This window comes from Homo sapiens, chromosome 1 (genome assembly GCF_000001405.40).
Source record: "Homo sapiens chromosome 1, GRCh38.p14 Primary Assembly".
Classification (NCBI taxonomy): Eukaryota; Metazoa; Chordata; class Mammalia; order Primates; family Hominidae; genus Homo; species Homo sapiens.
The window spans coordinates 41,131,326-41,155,376 of NC_000001.11; the positions used below are offsets into that span (position 1 = coordinate 41,131,326).

The following is a 24,051-nucleotide window of genomic DNA, read 5'->3' on the forward strand; positions in this document are numbered from 1 at the left end:
GTCCTCCACCTTTGTTTTCCCTTTTGAATATTGCTATGATTATTCTGGGTCCCTTATAAGAATTTTAGAACCAATTTGTCAATTTCTGCAAAATAGGCAGTTGGGATTTTGATAGGGACTGCACTGCATCTATAGATCAATTTGGAGAATATTACTGATAGTTAAGTGATTTGCAAACATTATCTCCTAGTCTGTGGCCTGTATTTTCTTTTTTCTAATTTTTCAACTATTATTATTTTGTATTATACTTTAAATTCTGGGGTACATGTGCACAACGTGCAGGTTTGTCACATAGGTATACAGGTGCCATGTTGGTTTGCTGCACCCATCAACTCGTCATTTACATTAGGTATTTCTCCTAATGCTATCTCTCCCCCAGCCTCCCACCCCCCAGCAGGCCCTGGTGTGTGATGTTCTTTTCCCTGTGTCCACGTGTTCTCATTGTTCAACTCGCACTTATGAGAATGTGCAGTGTTTGGTTTTCTGTCCTTGTGATAGTTTGCTGAGAATGATGGTTTCCAGCTTCATCCATGTCCCTACAAAGGACATGAACTCATCCTTTTTATGGCTGCATAGTATTCCATGGTGTATATGTGCCACATTTTCTTTATCCAGTCTATTATTGATGGATATTTGGGTTGGTCCAATTGTTTGCTATTGTGAATAGTGCTGCAATAAATATATGTGTGCATGTGTCTTTATAGTAGCATGATTCATAATCCTTTGGGTATATACCCAGTAATGGGATCACTGGGTCAAATGGTATTTCTAGTTCTAGATCCTTGAAGAATCGCGACACTGTCTTCCACAATGGGTGAACTAATTTACATACCCACCAACAGTGTAAAAGTGTTCCTATTTCTCCACATCCTCTCCAGCATCTATTGTTTCCAGACTTTTTAATGATCGCCATTCTAACTGGCGTGAGATGGTATCTCACTGTGATTTTGATTTGCATTTCTCTAATGACCAGTGATGATGAGCATTTTTTCATGTGTCTGTTGGCTGCATAAATGTCTTCTTTTGAGAAGTGTCTGTTCATATCTGTTGCCCACTTTTTGATGGGATTGTTTGTGTTTTTCTTGTAAATTTGTTTTTCTTTGTAAATTCTGGGTATTAGCCCTTTGTCAGATGGGTAGATTGCAAAAATTTCCTCCTATTCTGTAGGTTGCCTGTTCACTCTGCTGATGGTTTCTTTTGCTGTGCAGAAGTTCTTTATTTTAATTAGATCCCATTTGTCAATTTTGGCTTTTGTTGCCATTGCTTTTGGTGTTTTACTCATGAAGTCTTTGCCCATGCCTATGTCCTGAATGGTACTGCCCAGGTTTTCTTCTAGGGCTTTTACAGGTTTAGGTTTTACATTTAAGTCTTTAATCCATCTTGAGTTAATTTTTGTATAAGGTGTAAGGAGTCCAGTTTCAGGTTTCTACATATGGCCAGCCAGTTTTCCCAGCACCATTTATTAAATAGGGAATCCTTTCCCCATTTCTTGTTTTTGTCATGTTTGTCAAAGATCAGATGGTTGTAGATGTGTGGTATTATTTCTGAGGCCTCTGTACTGTTCCATTGGTCTATATATCTGTTTTGGTACCAGTGCCATGCTATTCTGGTTACTGTAGCCTTGTAGTATAGTTTGAAGTCAGGTAGCATGATGCCTCCAGCTTTGTCCTTTTTGCTTAGGATTGTCTTGGTCATGTGGGCTCTTTTTTGGTTCCATATGAAATTTAAAGTAGTTTTTTCCCATTCTGTGAAGAAAGTCAGTGGTAGCTTGATGGGGATAGCACTGAACCTATAAATTACTTTGGGCAGTATGGCCATTTTCACGATATTGATTCATCCTATCCGTGAGCGTGGAATGTTCTTCCATTTGTTTGTGTCCTTTTATTTCGTTGAGCAGTGGTTTGTAGTTCTCCTTGAAGAGGTCCTTCACATCCTTTGTAAGTTGGATTCCTAGGTATTTTATTCTTTTTGTATCAATGGTGAATGGGAGTTCACTCAAGAGAAAGCAGAAAAGATCTAAAATCGACACCCTAACATCACAATGAAAAGAACTAGAGAAGCAAGAGCAAACAAATTCAAAAGTTAGCAGAAGACAAGAAATAACTAAGGTAAGTGCAGAACTGAAGGAGATAGAAACACAATAAACCCTTCAAAAAAATCAATAAATCCAGGAACTGGTTTTTTTGAAAAGATCAACAAAATATAGACTGCTAGCAAGACTAATAAAGAAGAAAAGAGAGAAGAATCAAATGGATGCAATAAAAAATGATAAAGTGGATATCACCACTGATCCCACAGAAATACAAACTACCATCAGAGAATACTATAAACGCCTCTATGCAAATAAACTAGAAAATCTAGAAGAAATGGATAAATTCCTGGACACATACACTCTCCCAAGACTAAATCAGGAAGAAGCTGAATCTCTAAATAGACCAAAGGTTCTGAAATTGAGGCAATAATTAATAGCCTACCAACCAAAAAAAGTCCAGGACCAGATGGATTCATAGTCAAATTCTACCAGAGGTACAAAGAGGAGCTGGTACCATTCCTTCTGAAAGGATTCGAAGCAAAAGAAAAAGAGGGAATCCTCCCTAACTCATTTTATGAGGCCAGCATCACCCTTATACCAAAGCGTAGCAGAGACACAACAAAAAAACAGAATTTTAGACCACTATCACTGATGAACATTGATGCAAAAATCCTCAATAAAACACTGACAAACCGAATCCAGCAGCACATCAAAAAGCGTATCCACAACAATCAAGTCGGCTTCATCCCTGGGAAGCAAGGCTAGTTCAACATACGCAAATCAATAAACGTAATCCATCACATAAACAGAACCAATGACAAACACCACATGATTATCTTAATAGATGCAGAAAAGGCCTTTGACAAAATTCAACAGCACTTCATGCTAAAAACTCTCAATAAATTAGGTATTGATGGGACGTATCTCAAAATAATAAGAGCTATTTATGACAAACCCACAGCCAATATCATACTGAATGGGCAAAAACTGGAAGCATTCCCTTTCAAAACTGGCACAAGACAAGGATGCCCTCTCTCACCACTCCTATTCAACGTAGTATTAGAAGTTCTGGCTAGGGCAATCAGGCAAGAGAAAGAAATAAAGGGTATTCAATTAAGAAAAGAGGAAGTCAAATTGTCTCTGTTCACAGATGACACGATTGTATATTCAGAAAACCCCATCTTCTCAGCCCCAAGCTGATAAGCAACTTCAGCAAAGTCTCAGGATACAAAGTCAATATGTATTTTCATTCTCTTACCAGTGTCTATTGAAGAGCAGAAGTTCTTAATTTTGACAAAGTCTACTCTATGACTTATTTTTTAATCATGCTTTTTGGTCAGGTTTTTCAAAGTTTTCTTTATGTAAGTTTCACACATTTGTTAGTTTTCCCTCACCCCTTACCTGCTATTGAAAATGGGAGTTTGTCTTCCATGTATCTTCTATCAGGTTATTTTAAACCATTAAGTAAAATGTTGGCTTTAGTACTGAGGTATAAACATACTTTTTTCCAAGTTAAGTATATAGTACCCATTTTCTGGTTTATTATTTTTTTTTGCTAGTAGTGTGTTGAATTTTGTCAAAGCTCATATGATTTTATTCCTTAGCTTTTTTAATATGTTGAATTCTATTAATGATTTTTCTAAAGTTAAATATTTTCATTCTCCCCAAAATCCAACCTACTATTATGTCTTGATGAATTGTTGTTTTAAATATGTTAAATCCTAATTCCTTTTATTTAGGATTTTAATAACAGTATTCATACATGAGATTATACATCTGCATGTGTGTGTGGGCACATGTGTATAAATCAGGTTTAGGCAACACAGTTCTATGTGTCTCATAAAAACAATTCAGATGCTTTCCTACTTTTTCTGTGATCTAGAATGACACTATTCAGTACAATAGCCACTAGCCACATCAGGCCTTACATGCTTTAGCTGTGTCCCCACCCAAATCCTCATCTTGAATTGTAGTTCCCATAATCCCCACATATGATGATAGGGACCCAGTGGGAGGTAAGTGAATCATGGGGGCAGTTTCCCCTATGCTATTCTCATGATAATGAGTAAGTTCTCACAAGATCTGATGGTTTTATAAGGGGCTTCCCCCTTTGCTCAGCTCTCATTCTTCTCTTTCCTGCTGCCCTGTGAAGAAGGATGTGTTTGCTTCCCCTTCCACCATGAATGTAAGTTTCCTGAGGCCTCCCTAGCCATGCTGAACTGTGAGTCAATTAAACCTCTTCCCTTTATAATTACCCAGTCTCTGTTATGTCCTTATAGCAGCAGGAGAACGGACTAATACAAGGCCTTTTAAGTTACAATTAAATACAATTTAAAATTCAATTCCTTAGTCACAGTAGCCAGTTCAAGTGCTTACTCACTTGCTGTATGTGGCTGGTGAGGATCATGCTGAATAGAACAGATACAAAATATTTCCACCATTGCAGAAAGTTCTGCTGGGTATTGTTGAACTACAACTCAACTAGCACTAAGACTATCTGCTCCTTAAGGTTTGGTAATTTCCCTGTGACATAATCTACACATGGTGCTTACTGTAGGTGCAGTTCCTTGAAAACTTTTGTATATTTTCTTTTTTTTTTTTTTTGAGACAGGATCTCACTCTTTCACTCAGGCTGGAGTGTAGTGGTACAATCTCAACTCACTGCAATCTCCACATCCCAGGCTCAAGTGATCCTTCCACCTCAGCCTCCCAAGTAGCTGGGACTATGGGCGTGAGCCACCACGCCTGGTTAATTTTGTTATTTTTTTTGCAGAGATAGAGTTTTGCCATGCTGCCCAGGCTGGTCTCAAACTTCTGAGCTCAAGCAATCTGTCTGCCTTGGACTCCAAAAGTGCTGGGATCACAGGTGTGAGCCACCATGCCTGGCCATGTTTTCTATATCTGTTTAAATATTGTAATGCTATTGAAGTTAATTTTGACAAATAGTATTTCCTACTTCAACCTAACTTTTCAAATTTATCTGCATAGTTATTTCCCCTTTGTCATTTCTTCTTTTCTTTCTTTCTTTTTTTTTTTTTTGAGACGGAGTCTCACTCTGTTGCCAGGCTGGAGTGCACTGGCGCAATCTTGGCTCACTGCAACCGCCACCTCCCAGGTTCAAGTGATTCTCCTCAGCCTCCTGAGTAGCTGGGACTACAGGCATGCACCACCGTGCCCAGCTAATTTTTGTATTTTTAGTAGAGACGGGGTTTTACCATGTTGGCCAGGATGGTCTCAATCTCTTGACCTTGTGATCTGCCCACCTCGGCCTCCGAAAGTGCTGGGATTACAGGTGTGAGCCATTGTGCCCGGCCATTTCTTATTTTCTATGTTTGTGCCTACTCTCCTTTTTTCTTTACTATGCTAACTAGTGGTTTGTCTATTTCATGGACATTTTTTCTCCCAAAGGACAGTACTTTTTTTTTTTTTTTTTTTTTTGAGACAGTATCTCACCCTGTGGCCTAGGTTGCAGTGCAGTGGTATGACCATAACTCACTGTAACCTCAAACTCCTGGGTGCAAGCAATCCTTCTGCTTCAGCCTCCTAAAAGCCAGGACAACAGGCATATGCCACCATGCTGGGCTAATTTTTAAAAACATTTTTGTTGAGACAGGGTCTTGCTATGTTACCCAGGCTGGTCTTGAACTCCTAGCCTCAAAGTGATCCTCTTGCCTTGGCCACGCAAAGTTCTGAGATTACAGGCATGAATTACCATGCCCGGCCAGGACCAGTACTTTGAATTAACTTTGAATTATTGCTTTTCTGTTTTCTGCCTCATTAATTTCCTTTATCTTTTTTTTCTTCTTGCTTTGTAATTCTTTTTCTAGCTCTTTGAGTTGGGAATTTAAATCCCAATTTTCATCCTTTCATTTTTACTGATGTTAAATATTTAAGGCTATACATTTTCTTCTAAGTACTGCTTTAATTATATCTCAAAATTCTGATGTATGATGTTTATTATCATCGTGTTTTAGGAATTTTGCAAACTTTGTTTATATCTCCCCTGTTCAACTAAGAGCTATTTAGATTTTTAAATTTCAAGGCAGATCATTTATAAGGATCTAAAGTTTGACATGCATACATATGCACACACACACACACATACACCTACGATCTACCTGATTTCTTAAAGCCTTTCATACTTTTACTTTTTGTCCTCTTGACCTGTCTTGCCTTGAAAGAGCTGTGTTGAGCCTTCATTAGTACATTTGTCTGCATCTCTTTCTAAGCAGCAGCATCCTTACCCTCACCTTGGGTGGTTTCATAGTAGAGTTACTGTAGAGAGATATCTCTCAACGAACAGCTTTCCTGAGCACCATAGAGGGGAGTTCCTAGCAAGTTCCACCAACATAGCACCACAGTGATTTCTCTGTCATTGAGAGAACACAGCCCTATACCTCAGCCCTCAGGATGGGGGAGGAGAGGCTCTTCCTTGGGCACTTTATCTCAGCCTCAGAGTCTGGCTTTTCTTTATGTTTGCTACTCATATAATTTCTTTAGAGTTATCTTTCCTTTACTAACTGATCCCTCATTACTCCAATCCTCTGTTATAGTTAACAATTATATTAAACTTTCTATGTTCAAATTACTGTGTTGTTTCTCTCTTCACTGGACTGAGCCTGATACACACATACACTATTCTACCCTTGTCCCTTGCTTTGTTTTTGTCTTAAATTGATCATCTCTTGCTTTGATGAAGAGCTTTCTCTAATTTATTCCTCAGAATGGGCTTGGGGTTATAATATTCCCTGAGTTCTGCATGCTGAAAACGATTTCAGTATAACCTCAATACCTGAAAAACAGCTGCAAACTTGACTTTCTTTACCTTGTAAAAGACTTGGCTTTTTTTTTGCCAGAAGTTTAGAAGAAATTTTCTTAGAATACAATAGTTTTACTAAAATATGTCTTAGAGTTGACCAATCTGAATCAAAAGTAGGTCCTATAAATATAAAGGTAAAGGTCTGCTTTAATTTTTGGAAAGTTTTCTTATTTAAGTGTTAATTCTGTTCCATTGTTTTGTTTATCTTCTTTTGGGTTTTCAGTTATACATACATATACATATCGTGTACATATACATATTGGATTTTTGTTCATTATCTTCTATATCTAACAGTTCCTTTGAGATACTTTTTAACCTTTTCTAATATTTATTTTTATTCTCTTGGCTTTTTATTTCCCTCCTTAATGTCCCTTATTACATTTTCAGTTGAGTCTATTGTCCTGTTGTTCACCTTGGAATTCAGTCTTCCACTGAGATAATTTTGTCTTTTTTTTCTTGAGTTTGGACAATACTATTTTCACATCTTCTTGTCTATTGTGCATGTCTAGCTTGACTTTTACAACCTATGATTCAAGGTATTTTTTTCATATCTGCCAAGACTTGTTTAACTCAAGTTGAGTTGCTGTGCAACAGGTTTCCTCTGATTAGTCGTTGGTTTTGGAAGCATTTTCAGTAGTTGAAATGGTTTTATCCTCATCTTATGTTTTTCTTCATATTGAAGCTTTTTATAAATTTTCAAGTGCTATTTTCTCACCATTTTTATATATCTTAAATTTTCCCAGACCAGCAAAAAAACAAAAGGTTCTATTGGCAGGGAACTTGGGTCATGAGTTGGCATAGTGAAATACAATTTCTTTAATAGATGGGCCTGTTTAAGGTAGGATGAGAAGAATGGTATGCCTTTTATTCTGTATAATCCTAAATTTTACCCCCTGCTGTCTTTTTTTCCCTTCAACGTTAAGTCTCCCTCTTCCACAGAGGAAGTTTTCTCCCCAGGACTGCCATCTCCAGTCCACTTTCAACTTTGACTCTCCTTTCCAATTCCAATAGTTTGTGCTCTAATCCACAAGATCTTAGCTCTGTTCTCAGTATTTCCCATTCTGGGTGGGACTATCTCATTCTGGGGGCAATTTTGGCTCTGTTAGGCCCCCATTGTTCTCTCCCTTTTTTATACAATTTCCACCTACATAAATTCTTCGTTATGTATGGTCTGGTACTGGCTCTGCTGGTTTCAGATCTTTATATCCCCATTAAAAAGTAACTGATAATTGTGGCATTCTCGGCTCCTAGTTATATTTAGGCATAAGTTATGGGTGGATTGTTTCCTTTTTGATCTGTAGGTTTCTGGAGAATTTTTGGAAATATTTGATTTACATGGTCACTATGTTCCCTGAGAACTTGTATTTTTTAATAGCCTCTCAAATGCTTCTAAATAGTGATTCATAAAGTAGTGCAAGAATAACACACTACAGTGTAAGAATGAAGAGCATCTCCATGTTACTGCAATGTCATATTTAGGACATATCACTAAATGAAAAAAGGCAGGGGATAGATACACACATACACACATAGACACACACACATGCCTAAATTTTTTATAAAATTGAATGATAAACTATAGGATTAAAAAGAAGTGGTTACCTATGGCAGAAGGAAAGACCAAGGTGAAAGAGATTTCTCTGAATATACTCTGTTTTATAGACTTGACTTTTCAGAATTATATATATTTCAGAATTATATATAATAATGTATTTATAAAGCAAAATTAAATTTTAAAAAGCAATTCCACAAAATAAAACATAAAATGAAGCAAATGAACCTTAGTTATTAAGTTGGTGGTACAGTCACTTAGACAGAAACTAATCTAAATGACCTTATAACACTTATTAAGGGTATTTTTCTTAAGGGTAAGGAAAAAATGCAAATAAACACTGTTAATAATCAAACTGGTGGTAGTGTTGGTATTGTTATTCTGAGACTGTTAGATGAGTGATACGGAATAAAGCAAATGAGTTACTGTGTTAACATGGAGAACTAGGGTTTTGTTGTGGTACAAAGGAGATTCAAATTTAAGGTAGCAGAGATGAAGCAGGTAAAAATACCTCTGTCCCTTAGTGAGAAGTATCAATTTGAACCAATGATATTTTACCCCAATAACTTTTTTTTTTTTTTTTAGACGCAGTCTCAGTCTGTTGCCCAGGCTGGAGTGCAGTGGTGCAATCCCGGCTCACTGCAACCTTCGCCTCCCGGGTTCAACTGATTCTCCTGCCTCAGCCTCCCACGTAGCTGGGACTACAGGCACATGCCACAACACCCAGCTAATTTTTGTATTTTCAGTAGAGACGAGGTTTCACCATGTTGGCCAGAATGATCTCGATCTCCTGACCTTGCGATCTGCCCGCCTCGGCCTCCCAAAGTGCTGGGATTACAGGTGTGAGCCACTGCACCCAGCCAATAATCTTTTTAAAAAGGTAGTTCCTGCCTCTCTATACCAAAAAGACTAGAAAGGGTGACCAACCTAGTAGCACTGAGCACTCTAGTGTTCTGATTATGGTCTCTAAATACCATTTCCCAATAAAAGGAGCCCAGGAACCTAGAAGAACTAGCTGATTCCATATTTGGGGCAAAAAATATATAAGATGAACCTGGAACATGTTGAAATTGCAAAAATCCAAGAGAGCTATCAAATAGTATCAAACAGTATATAAAAGAGTCAGGAGACAACTTGACAAGTTTCCTTCTGGCAAAAGATGGGATAATTCAAGCATCAATAAGGTCAATTGGTGTGATGGAGTGAAACACAACAAATATGTATGAAGTTTTGAGCTTATGATACTAAGCAACAACAACAAAATCCTCCTTAAATATTTTTGGAGGATGCTAATAAACCAATTCATTGAAAATTGGTAAATAAAGAAATAAAGCATGCATTTAAACTGTTTTTCCTGTGTGAACTATATCTCAAAATAACTAAATAGTTGATGAAAGTTTATGTTAACAGATGTATTCCATTAATTTATGTAGACAGAATGGCAGGATTAGATTTTTCCATTTTGTAACCATATGAATTATAGATTTAAATCAGGGGCAGCAAACTACAGTTGGCAGGCTGACAACCTGTTTTTGTAAATCAAGTTTTATTAGAACACAACCCTGTTTGTTTATGTATTGTCAACAGCTGCCTTAGCAGAAAGACAAAGCTAAGTAATTATAACAGAGAATGTATGATCTGTAAAGCCTAAAATATTCACTATCAGATCTGTCAAGAAAAATGTCAACCCTGATCTAGACTATGAGCAGCAATGGCTGCTACATTATATTACATTATAAAACAAGAGACAACCAGACTATACATGCTTCTTGATAGAAATAAATATCACCAGCTATGAAATATTCTTATGAAAAAATTGAACCAGAATCTGATCAAGTCTCTACATTTAGCTACCAATTTTAGGAACTAGAGGACACAGAAACATGTTGAATGATACCACAAGAATACAATCAACAAAATATAATTTTAGAAAATTTAAAAGACAAATGACTTAGGTTTTTAAACAAATAAACTGCAAGAAAAATTAGAGCAGATAAGAACTTGTAGATTTAAAGAAGCTTAAAGGACATATCAACTAACTGCAATGTGAGGATTCTAGTTAGATTGATTCAAAAAACTGATTAAAAAAGAGAGAGACAGACAGAGACAGACAATCCAGAAAATTTAAACACATTAAAATATTTGTTGATATTAAGACATTATCATTGGCTTATTTGTATGTGATAATTGTATGGTTATGTTTAAGACATCCTTGCCCATGACAGAGACATACTAAATACTTTCATGATAAAATCATGCTATGTTTAACAATTGGAGGTGGGGACAGAAAGTGTATACAAGTATAGATAAAATTATATTGACTTCAACAATGAAGGTTACATGAGCATTCACTATGCTATTTTTCTCTACCTTTTTATATGTTTGAAATTTTACATTACAAATTTTTTTTTAATGGGGGAAAACGTTAAATAAGTACCTAGGGAGCCCATGATACATGCTCTCTAATTCTCAATTTAGCACAGCTTCCTGAGAGGAAGTATAGTCAAAGTCCATAATCTAACTCTCTCGGTCCCCCATTGAGACTCACTGTAATAGTGATTGACAGTAACTGATAAGAAGGGCTGAATCCCTCAGATTTATTGAGGCAAAAGCTGGAGGGGAATCTGATCTGGAAAGAAAAACCTAGTGAGGTTATTAGCTTAAATTTTAAAAAATGATTTTTATGTAATAATGGATTCGAAGCGAGAAAACTCCAAGGACCAGGTGAGAATTAGTGAGAAAGGAGATAAGAGATCCTTATAACAGCCATGCTTTCTACTGGCAGATTTTCTCTCATTTCTTGTCATTATGATAGGATTTGGTGAAAGCTTTATGCTTTTTGAGATAGGTTAAACGGCAAGACCTCCTTCCATTCTCTCTCTCAGGTAAATGGGCACTGGCCAAGAAGAACAAAGGGTGTGATTTCTTGTTAGAAAGAATTTGGAAGAAGCCTGGATATCATAAGCTAATGTAGAGATGGAGATGTCCAAATTGTGCAGCTTGTTTCATTTTGGGTGGGCCTTTTTAGGAGACTATATGAAAAATAAGGGATAAGCTGGGTACCCTAGGCTTTCCCATAATAGGATGTTCAGTTTTTGGACGCTAACTATTAATAATTGGCTAGAAAGAGTTTGGGTTTACTTACTCACCAAGAGGTGGCTGTAGCATACCCCCATTCTTTTCACAGTTCCCAATAGGCTGGATTTCAGCTGAGTCAACCAGCCGCCAGAAGTCATTTTTGTTGTCGCTCCCATCAAGGCGCAGGCGAAGGCGGGCACCTGTCAGTCCAACTACTGTGGCAATACAGGTGGATGTGGTGTTCCTGGGGTCCTGTGCTTCCAATTTCATACTGATCTTGAACTCGTTGCTTGGAGGTGTGTAGGACTGGGAAAAACAAGGCATGAGGTATAGACAGATTAAGAGTAAAACCCCAAAATTCATGTTTTGGATTCAGATTGGTTATAGCTGGGCCAGGGACAACCAACTGAATTATTCCCTAATAATTAAGAATGGTTTCATGCAAAAGAAACAATGAAAGATAAGATGAAGGGGAAAAAATTACTTTCCAACGAAGCATCAAATAGACCCATACCAGTTAAAAAAAGGACAAGAATGTCTTATATAGGCCAGTTAATTAAATGTTTTCTCATTCTATAATTCTCTAACTCCCTACCCTTCCAGGTAGGGACTTTTAATCCCTTTTTAGTCTTTTTAGGACTACTACGTCCTATTAAACTACCATATTCTTAGTGTCTCTTTGTGGAATATTTCAGTATATTGGTGTGTATATCTACCACACAGACTATTGAGGGTTAATTTTTTCTTATTTTGACAACTTACTAATCAAGTCATACAATAGACATACAATAAACTATACACTTTAGTAAGTCTTGACATATGTATATACTCATATTACTATATACACCATATAAACCTGTGAAAGTATCACCACGATAAAAATAATGAACATGGCCATTATCCTCAAGCTCTCACATGCTCTTTTGTAATCTCTTCTTCTGGCCCCTCCAGGACCTCTGCACCCAGGCAACCAATGATCTACTTTCTATCACTGTAGATTGCTTTGCGTTTTCTAGTCTTAGATGGAATCATAGAAGATGTACTTTCTTTTTTGTCTAGCTTCTTTCACTCAGCATAACTACTCTGATAATTCATCCATATTAGTAATTCATTTCCTTTTATTGTTGAGTGGTATAACCATGCTGACGGAGATTTGGTTTGTTCCAGCTCTTGGCGATTACAAATAAAGCTGCTAGAAACATTTAAGTACAAATTTTTGTGTAGGGAAATACACTTTCTTTTTTCTTGCACAAATACCTAGGAGTGAAATGGCTGGATCACATGGTAGGTATATGTTTAAATCACAAAACAGAAAATTAACCCTTTTAAGGTATACAATTCAATGATTTTTAGAATATTCTCAGAGTTGTGTAAACACCATCCCTATCTAATTTTATAACATTTCCATAATCCCCTCAAAATGAACCCCCTGCCCCAGTGGAGTCATTCCCCATTACCCTCTCAGCCCAGTCCCTAGAAACCATTAATCTACTTTCTGTTTCCATGGATTTACCTATTCTGGACATTTCATATAGATGGAATTATATAATGTGTGGCCAATATGTGAATAGTTTCTTTCATTTAGCAAAATGGATTCAAGGTTCACCCATGTCAATGAGTGTATCAGTACTTCATTCCTTTTCATTGATGAACAATATTCCATTGTATGGATATACATTTTGCTTACTCATTCATCAGCTGATGGACATTTGGGTTGTTTCCTCTTTTTGGCTATTATGAATAATGATGTGATAAACATTTATGGTATATTTTTCTGTGGACATGTTTTCTATTCTCTTACGTATATACTTATGAGTGAAACTGCTGGGTCATGTGGTAACTCTGTTTAACACTTTGGGTAACCTCTGAACTGTCTTCTCAAGTAGCTATAGGATTTCATAATTTTACCACCAATGTACAAGGGTTCCAATTTCTACACATTCTCACCAACACTTGCCATTGTTTGTCTTTTTGATGTTAGAGTCATCTAGTCAATGTGATGTATATCTCATTGCAGTTTTGATTAGCATTTCTCTAATGACTACTGAGTATCTTTAATGTGCCTAACTGGTCATTTGTATATATTTGGAGAAATATCTATTCAAATTCTTTGTCCATTTTAAAATCATGTTGTCTTTTAATTTCCGAGTTTTAAGAGTTCTTTCTATATTCTGGATACAAGTCCTTTACCAGATATATAATTCTCAAATATTTTCTCCCATTGTGTGGGTTGTTCTTTTCACTTTCCTGATGGTGTGGAAACAAAAATCTTTTAATTTTGATGAAGTTTAAATTATCTATTTTTTCTTTTGTTGTTTATGTTTTTGGTGTTATAATATCTAATCCAAGGTCATGAAGATTTCCTTCTATGTTTTCTTTAAAGAGTTTTGCAGTTTTAACTCTTACATTTAGGTCCATGATCCACTTGAAGTTAATTTTTGTATATGGCATAGAGGTAGAGTCCAACTTCACTTTTTTTTATGTGGATAACCAGCTGTACCTGCACCAGTTGTTGAAAAACCCACTGAACTGTCTTGGTACCCTTGTCAAAAATCGATCGATCATAAATTGATGGGTCAATTTCTGTACTCTCAATTTTAATTCATGGATCTATATGTCTATTTTCCTGCCAGAACCATTATGTCTTAAGTACTGTAGCTTTGTAGTAAGTTTTGAAATCAGGAAATGTGAATCCTTCAGCTTTGTTCTCTCTTTTCAAGATTGCTATGGCTATTCTGGGTCTCTTGTAAGAATTTTAGAATGAATTTGTCAATTTCTGCAAAAAAGGCAGCTGGGATTTTGACAGAGATTGTGTTGAATCTACAGATCAATTTGGAAAATAATGCTGTCAGTTATGTGATTTGCAAATATAGTCATGTTCTGCATAATGATGTCTGGTCAAAAACAGACTATGTATAGATTGTGGTCCCATAAGACTACAATGGAGCTAAAAAATTCCTGTATCCTAGTTATAATGCAGCTGTCTTAAGGTCCTAGAGCAACACATTACTCACATTTGTGGTGATGCTGGTGTAAAAAAACCTACTGTGCTGCCAGCTGTATAAAAGTATAGCACATACAATTATGTACAGTACATAATACTTGATAACAATTGACTATGTTACTGGTTTATGTGTTTACTATATATTTTAAATCATTATTTTAGAGTGTATTCTTTATACGAAAATAAAAGTTAACTAAAAAATAGCCTCAGGCAGCTCCTTTAGGAGGTATTCCAGAAGAAGGCATTGTTACCATAGGAGATTACAGCTCCATCCATGCATGTAACTGTCCCTGAAGACCTTCCAGTAGGCTCAGAAGTAGAAATGGAAGACAGTGATACTGATGATCCCGAGTCTGTGTAGGCCTAGGGTAATGTCTTAAGTTTTTTAACAAAAAGAGTTTAAAAGGTAAAAAAAAAAAAAATTAAAAATTATTTTTCTACAGCTGTACAATGTGTTTCAAGCTAAGTATTATTATAAGAGTCAAAAAAGTTAAAAAATTAAGTTTATAAAGCGAAAAATTTACAGTAAGCTAAGGTTAACTCTTTACTGAAGAATGAAAAATTTTTAAATAAATTTAGTGTAGCCTGGGTGTACAGCGTTTATAACGTTGACAGTGGTACGCAGTTCACCACTTACTCACTGACTCACCCAGAGCAATTTCCAGTCCTCCAAGCTCCATTCAAGGTAAGTGCCTGATACGGGTGTACAAGTTTTAATATACCTTTTATACCATATTTTTTTTTTTACTGTACCTTTTCCATGTTTAGATATGTTTACATAGACGAATACCATTGTGTTACAACTACCTACAGTATTCAGTATAGTAATATGCTGGACAGTTTTGTAGCCTAGGAAGAATAGGCTATGGTCTAGGTGTGTAGTAGGCTATAGCATCCAGGTTTGTGCAAGTATATTCTATGTTCACACGACGATGAAATTGCTTAACAATTCATTTCTCAGAGCATATCCCTATCGTTAAGCAATGCAAAACTATTCTCTCATAGTCTGTGACCTGTATTTTTGTTCTCTTACCAGTATCTTTTGAAGAGCAGAAGTTCTTAATTTTGACAAAGTCCACTCTATTTTTTTAATGAATCAAAATTTTGGTCAGGCATCTTCTAAGGTTTTCTTTATATAAATTTTTCGTATTTGTTAGTTCCTCCCCCACCCCACCCAAAGTAGTTGAACCATTCTGCATTTTCACCAGCAGCATATGAAAGTTCCATTTGTTCTACATCTTTGCCACTATTTAATATGGTCAGTCTTTTGAAAATCAGAGCCATTTAAATAAATGTATAGTGATAGCTCACTAATCACTTTTATTTTGTATTTCCCTAATGAAATAATGGTATTGAGCATCTCTATTCATGTACTTATTTGCCCTGTATACATTTTCCTTGGTGTTTGTTCTAAATCTTTCGACCCAGATCCCTTTTATTTCTTTTTCTGGCCCATTTGCATTGGTAATACAATACTGAATAAAAGTGGCAAGAGCAGATATCCTTGTCTTGTTCCTGATCTTAAGGGGAAAGCATTTAGTCTTTCACCATTAAGTAAGATATTCTTTGTAGACTATTAATAAATGCCCTTTAGAGTTTAGGATTTAGAAAGTTCCCTTCTATTTCTAGTTTGGTGAGAGTTTTTATTTAGTAATGGACATTTAATTTTGTGAAATGCAGGTACTTGGAAAGAATGTGTATCTACATATGTTGGACAGTATTCTATGTATGTCAGTTAGGTCAAGTTAGTTCATAGTGTTGTTCAAATCCACTATATATTTGCTGATTTTTTTTCTCTACTTGTTCTTTTATTACACAGAGAGGAGTATTAAAAGTCTGACTATAGATAATTTTGGATTTATCTATTTCTCCTAATAGTTCTATTGGTTTTTGCTTCATGTCAGGATTTGTCTGATTTCTTTATCATTATAAAATTAACTTCCTTAACCCTGTTAATATTATTTGAAGTGTACTTTGATATTAATATAGCCATTTCAGCTTTATTATAGCTAATGTCAGCATGGTACATCATCTTCATACATTTACTTTTAACCTATTTAAAGCATAATTTTTCCAATCATAGCAAGCTCGATAGTAAAGAAACAGAAAAAAGTGTAAGTTTTTGAAGGCAGTATATAATTGGGTTTTGCTTTTTATCCAATGTGCCAATTTCCGCTTTTTAACATTTAAACCATTTACATTTGATTATTGATATAGCTGGGTTTAAATAAAACATTTTGCTATTTTTTCCCATTATTCTAGTGGTTGCATTAGAGTTTATAGTACAAACATCTTTAACTTACCACAGTCTACCTTATCAAGTAAGATAGTACTACTTCATGCATGAGAACCTTGTAATAGTATACTTAAGATTCCTCCCTTCCTGCCTTTGTGCTACTCTTATCATCCATTTTACTTATATGTTATCATCCTCACAATATACGGTTATTGTCTACACAATTATCTTTTACACAGATTTAAATAAGAAAACATCTTATATATCTATCCTTATAATGACAATTTCCAGTGACCTTCATTTCTTTGTATAGATCTGTTATTTCATTTGATATCATTTTCTTTCTGCTTGATGAACCTCCTTTAACATTTCTTGAGGTGTGAGTCTGTGAGTAATGAATTCCTTCAGCTTTTGTAAATCTGAAAATATCTTTATTTCACCTTTGTGTTTGAAAGACATTTTTGCTGGCTGCAGTAGTCCAGGTTGACAGGTTTTTTATTTTTCTTTTAGTACTTTCAAGGTGTTGTTCAATTTTGTGCTTGCTTATATTGTTTCTGACAAGAAATATAATTCTTACATTAGTTATCCTATATATAAAGTGTCTTTTTTCTCTGGCTGCTGTTGAGTTTTCTCTATCAATGGTTTTGTGCAATTTGATTATGATATGCCTCTGAGTAGTTTTCTTCTATTATCTTTGGGATTCCTTGAATTTCTTGATTCTGTGGACCTATAGTTTTATTTATTTATTTACTTATTTATTTTGAGACACAGTCTCGCTCTGTCGCCCAGGCTGCAGTGCAGTGGCATGATCTCAGCTCACTGCAAGCTCCGCCTCCCAGGTTCATAAAATTCTCCTGCCTCAGCCTCCCCAGTAGCTGGGACTACAGGTGCCCTTCACCATGCCCGGCTAATTTTTTTGTATTTTTAGCAGAGATGGGGTTTCACCGTGTTAGCCAGGATGGTCTTAATCTCCTGACTTCACGATCCGCCCACCTCAGCCTCCTAAATTGCTGGGATTACAGGCCTGAGACACCATGCCCAGCTGTTATTTTTAATTTTGGAAAAATTTTAGCCATTATTTCTTCAAATATTTTTTCTATCCCCCATCACTTCTCTCCTCTGGGACTCCAATTACACGTCTATTTGGTCACCTGAAGTTAACCCATAGTTCACAGGTTCTAAATTCCTTTTTCTCTTTGTGTTTCATTTTGAATAGTTTCTATTGTTATGTTTTCAAGTTTACTAATTTCTTCTGGCATTAATCCAATCTAGTGTATTTTTCATTTCCCACATAGTAGCCCAGTGAGTCTTTTTAATATCTTCCATGTCTCTGCTTAATATCTGAATATAACAAATATATTAAAATAATTATTTTAATGTGTTTGTCTGCTATTCTATGATCTGTATAGAGTCTGAGTCAGTTTCAATCAATTATTCTCTAGATTATTGGTTGCATTTTCCTGCCTCTTTGCATGCCTGGTAGTCTTTGATTGAAAGTTAGATCTGGTGAATTTTACCTGATGGGTACTGGATATTCTTGCATTCCTATAAATCTTCTTGGGCTTTGTTCCTCGATGCAGTTAAGTTATTTGTGAAGTAGTTTGATCTTCTTGAGTTTTACCTTTATGATTTGTCAGGCCGGACTGAAGCAATACTCAGGCTAAGGTTAATTATTTTCCAATATGAGCAACACCTTCCTGAGTATCATACCCAGTGCCCAATCAATTATGAGATGTTCTAGTCTAGCTGGTGAGATCAGGAACTATTCTCAGCCCTGTGTGAGTGCCAGGTTCTATTCCTTTGAATCCTTTCAGATAGTTTTTTCCTTTGGCCTTAGGTAGTTTTCTCATATGCATTTATAAAATGGTAGTCTTTTCCTGGACCCTCTGAAGATCACTGTGGTTTTCTTTGTGTGCAGCTTTCTCCTCCTGACACTCTGTCCTAAAAATTCTAGCCACCTTGGTTTCTCTGGACTCACATTTTTTTTTTCTTCCATTTCCTCCAATTAGGGAGTCTGCTGGGCTCAACATGAGTTCCCTTTCCCTGGGCCATGGTCTGGAAACTGTTAAGACAGTAAGCTAGAAAATCATAGAGGTAGCTCAACTCATTTGTTTTCTCTCTCTCAGAGATCACTGTTTGGCTGCTTGATTTTTAGTGACTTAAAAACCATTGTTGGCTAGGCCCGGTGGCTCACACCTGTAATCCCACCACTTTGGGAGGCCAAGGTGGGTGGATCACCTGAAATCAGGAGCTGGAGACCAGCCTGGCCAACATAATGAGACCCTGTCTCTACTAAAAGTACAAAAATTAGCCAGGCATGTTGGTGTGCACCTGTAGTCCCAGCTACTCGGGAGGCTGAGGCAGGAGAATCACCTGAAGCCGGGAGGCAGAAGTTGCAGTGAGCCAAGATCAAGACACCGCACTCCAGCCTGGGTGACAGAGCGAGACTCTGTCTCAAAACAAAACAAAACAAAACAAACCATTATTAACATATGTTGTCTTTTTAAATAAATTGTTTCAGGTGGAAGTATAAATTCAGTCCCTTTTATTTCAAATGAGCAGAAGTCCTGAACTTGTATTTCTACTTAGAAAACAGACAAAATTCTATGGCCGGGCACGGTGGCTCATGCTTGTAATCCCAGCACTTTGGGAGGCCGAGGCGGGCAGATCATGAGGTCAGGAGATCGAGACCATCCTGGCTAACACGGTGAAACCCCGTCTCTATTAAAAATACAAAAAAATTAGCCGGGCATGGTGGCAGGTGCCTGTAGTCCCAGCTACTCGGGAGGCTGAGGCAGGAGAATGGTATGTACCCAGGAGGCGGAGCTTGCATTAAGCCGAGATTGCGCCACTGCACTCCAGTCTGGGCGACAGAGTGAGACACCATCTCAAAAAAAAAAAAAAAAAAAAAGAAAACAGACAAAATTCAAACTCAACCTGAAATGTTGACAGTTTGAGGAAATAACCCTTGAGTACTAAAGGAAAGGATTGTAGGTAACTTCCTGACGTTTAACTTTGTTTAGCACCAAACACTTCTTTGCTTATCAGCCATATCAAACACTGACACAGTCAATACCATCTGTGCATTGTCTGGGTTACTTAATCCTTCTGGGAAACTCTGGATGACCTCTGATGAGCTCCTGAGATGCTTCACAGTGGGACTCAGTGTCAACATTCTTGTAGAAAGATAAGATTGTGACAGGAGTGCTGAGTACAGAGAAAGAAATACTGCTCCATTTTCAACAATGTCTATGGACTATAACTCTCTTTCCTGTCCGAATTAAGAGCTCTAGTAAAAATTAGCAGTTGTTTTCAGTAACACAGAATATCCTCAAGGAGGTAAAGAAGGAGGCAAGGGTGTTACTTGGGATGAAGGTGGAAAGAATGTCTGCTGCCAAAACTCACAGTGACCAAATTTTACTTCTTGAGCTGTGTTCTTCCCATAGAAGTTTATTCTGGGGCCCTCAGGTAAGAAGCCCAAGGGCTTCCACCTCCTGTTTTGATTGTCTAAAAACCATAAAAAAATGACTTATCTTCCACCTACTAAAGATGTTGAAAATCAATTACCTGCTTGAAGCAATGGACAGGCGCTGGGACTGAACATGTTTCTTTTAGGTATTTGTCCCAGGTAAAATGACCTGTAAAGGAAATAGAAATCTATATCACAGTCAACTTCCTAAAAAAAATGTTTTCAGGGTATAATCTACACTAAACAGTAAGCTATTTGTAGACTGGTTTTGAGCATAAAAAATATAATTTTTTTCCTGTTTGAGCTCAAAGGAGTATTAAGGGGAAGAATCTAAGTGACCTGAGCGGATGTTTTAGATTCACGTTTTAAAATAATGGTCTAAAGATGGCTTAGGGTGTTATTTATGTTCATTCCTAAAGTGATCCAAAATGCCAAAGCAAGATATACTAGTACTTCAAAGAAGTGACCAGGAAGCTAATGGAAAACAGAATAGAAGAGGCAGAAAGTGGGTGGGGAGATTCCTTTTGAACAATCTGACTCTTGGAAAGGTCCCTCACCGCTGTCAAGTGGCAGCTTTTAACACCCAATATGGTTGGATTCCAGCATCTCAGCTCAGGAAGAATGAAGAAAAGGCTGTCTAGAGACAAGGGGCGAGATGATTTGAGGGGAGGGGAAGCCAGATGAGTGAGATTATAGTTGAATCCTCACTCTAAAAACTGGCTCTCTCTCACCTACCCCCGCTGCACCCCCATCCTAGCCACCGCTGTGTTGCTCTGGGGTGCAAAGTGACAAAGAACTGTTAATTTAGAGCAAAGTAGGACCTGGGAAGCATGTCTGATGATAGTAAATAAGAACAAGCTGGGGAGTCTGTAGAATCTTTTAGCCTCTTGAACTGGCCTTACAGCCTCTAAAAGTTTGAAGAACACTGTCCTAGATAAACAATCTTCAAGGTGACACTGTGCTGGGGGAAGGGAAAACATCTTAAGGCAGGAACATTTGATACAGACCTCATTGGATCACTAAAGATTATCAAGTTCTTTATTTAAAGGTTAAACCAATTACCAGTCTCCCCCTAATACCCACCTAGAGGTGACCCCATGATGGAGCAGGGAAGGTCCCAGAGAATCTCACAAGCTAAAACACTGTAGCAAACCAGCATTTCTTGAAGTTTCCTCTGTAGTGGAGCAGCACAGAGCCCCTTTGGGCCATGCAAAAAGCACTAGATGCTGGGAATAAAAATGAGTCACTGAATGAAGAAATCTAAATCACTCCAAAGATGATGCCAAGACTTTACACTCTATTTATTTTATAGCTTCTGTTTTATAACTGGTTCCTTTCCCACTACCCTTAACTAAGCCAAATAGATTTGGCCAGAAATCACAGTCAGTTCTGAACTATTTCATGAACTAGCTGATGATTAATCAACATGACTAGACAGTTAGTCCATAGGGCAAATGAGATGACTATTTTCTGAAGTCAAGGTTTAAAGGCGTTATCAGAATTTAATGAAGAGTTTGCTTCTAGTTGACAGGGCCCTAAAGCAAGGACTGAATACATTTCATCATTGTTTGCTGTTAGAAAAATAAAACATTACAATTTATTATTCCATCCTTACAAATGAAAGATTAAATCAAATAGTAAGTTTTGGATTTCCCTGGATTGAGAATCTTCAACTCTGGCATCTAGAGCAGCACTGTCCAATAAAACTTTCTGTGCTGACTAAAATGTTCTGTATCTGTGCTAGCCAATAAGGTAGCCACTAGCCACATAACTATTGGATACTTGAAATGTGGGTACGTAAGAAACTAAATTTTTTAAATTTTAATTAACTTAAATTTAAATCCCCACACATAGCTAATAGTTACTGTATTAGGAAGCACAGATCAAGAGTTTTGGTCAGTCCTGGGTAACTGCTTATATTAGCTTAAGTTCTGACTAAAAGCACCAAAGAGACTTTGGTCTTAAGAATAATGGCAGCATCAGGGGTACCACAACAATTAGGGTATTAATTACAGTTCTCCATTATACATATCAACCATGGTAATCAATCCCTATTCTGTAATGTACACAGGCTAGAAACCTCAGCCCTTTTACCACTTAGGAAACACTCTATCACTAACTGGATGAAAAGGAACCTCTGTTTAAAGTAGTTCACCCACTGTGATGGCTGACTGGCTTGAACCATACCTAGATGGTATTTTCCTTTTATTTGACTTCTTGGGCTACCTAAGGCTTAGTTCCTTATTATCAGGTGAATTGCAAAATAAGATAATTTTTATGACTTAGTAAGAATGTTTGGACACCTATTGTAATGCCCATGATGAAGCCAGACATAATATTCTGCCATATCTCCAAGCACTAAAGTAACCACAAAAGAAATAGGACAGGCACCAAGGTATAGATCCAGAGTTAGCAAGTCTTCTGTTAAGGACAATATAATAAAAATTTTATGCTTTCTAGGCCATACAGTCTATGTCATAGCTACTCAGCTCCACCACTCCAGTGTGAAAGCAGCCACAGACAGTATGTGTGCCTAAATTAGCATGGCTGTTCCACTCAAACTTTATTTACACAAACAGGCAGAGGGCTGGATTTGACCTCCCAATAGTAGTTTGCCAGACCTCTGGTATAAATCATTGACTCTCAAGTGATACTTATAGTCTCATTTCTTTAAACAAAGTTCTGGGCCTCACCTTCAGAAGTTCTTATTCAGTAGGCTCCAAGTGTGGCCTGAGAATATGTATTTTCCAAGGCTCCCTAGGTAATTTGGATTAACATCTGTGACTAAGAACTACTACTGGTGTAGTTTAAATAATGTAATATTGGGAGTCTGAAGATGTTGGTAAAAGTCTTGTTTCTACAGCTAACTATCTTGGGTAAATTACTTAATCCTTCCAAGCCTAAGTTTACTCATGTGAAAGATGAAGACAATATCTGTCTTACAAGATTGTATATAGATTCTTCATTCAATAAATATTTAAACTTCTCCAAGTACAAAGAACTGTGTTAAATGTTAGGGGAACAAGGTAAGACATGATTTCTCAATTCATGGAGCTTTCAGTCTAGAGATAAACAGAGACATTAATAAACATAACACAAATAATCTGTTATGATAATGATAAAGTTTACGAGGTAGTACAGGTTGTCTTGAGATTGCAGAACATGAAAATCTCATTCATCCTTGGGCTCAGAGATTATTACGAAGATTAATATTATTAACTAACATAGGTATAATGTTTTATAATTTAAACATATATAATGTGAGTGTTTTCAATTATTCCAACATTATAATTCAAAATATTCAAACAGTATAATTTGAATGTTTTCAATTATTCATTCAACAGATACTTATTAACTATCCTCTATGTGCCAGGCAATATGACAGGGGTCCCTGCCCTCATTTACATGCTGGTATATGATGAGACACAACTAACACATAAACAATAAATAAACAAGGCAGTAAGTGAAAAGAACTTGAAGGGAATAAAATGAGGTGATGTGATAGAGACTGGGAGCTATCTTAGTAAAGTCATGGACAGATACTCTTCAGAGGAAATGTCTAAGCTAAGACTTTACAGATGAGAAAAAGCCATCTCATTTAGTAAATAATGCTTATAAAAGTGTTTTTATAAACTCTGATGCATACCACGTGATAGTTACATTTATTATTAAAAAAGAAAAAAAGGTACCTGCCCTGAAGAGACTTAAAAATGGCATTAAAGTACCTTGGCCCATAAAATATGGGCATAAGAGGTCACCTAGTTAAATGCATGAATCACCTTCTCTAATATTCATTCATTCAGCAAATATTTACTAAATACCTAGTATATGTTAAGCCTGGTTCTAGGCACTGGTGATATA

General features: G+C 36.6%; 1 protein-coding gene across 42 annotated transcripts in view; it reads right to left on the minus strand.

The window, feature by feature from the left end:
* Positions 1-24,051, minus strand: part of SCMH1 (Scm polycomb group protein homolog 1) — a 215,105-nt gene that overhangs the window by 104,124 nt on the left and 86,930 nt on the right. For 23 of the 42 annotated variants that reach the window (XR_946584.3, XR_007096354.1, XR_002959761.2 and 20 more), the window contains 2 exons: positions 20,289-20,359; positions 11,553-11,787 (listed from right to left, as the gene is read on the minus strand). Coding sequence is in view for 33 of the 42 variants with exons in the window: in XM_047449591.1 (XP_047305547.1) it covers positions 11,553-11,787; positions 20,289-20,359 (306 nt within the window). In the remaining 9 variants the exon portion in view is untranslated. Of the gene's footprint in view, positions 1-11,548; positions 11,788-20,288; positions 20,360-21,273; positions 21,417-24,051 lie in introns of all 42 variants that reach the window. The other 19 variants (NR_135092.2, NM_001394309.1, NM_001394301.1 and 16 more) reach the window with 3 other exon arrangements.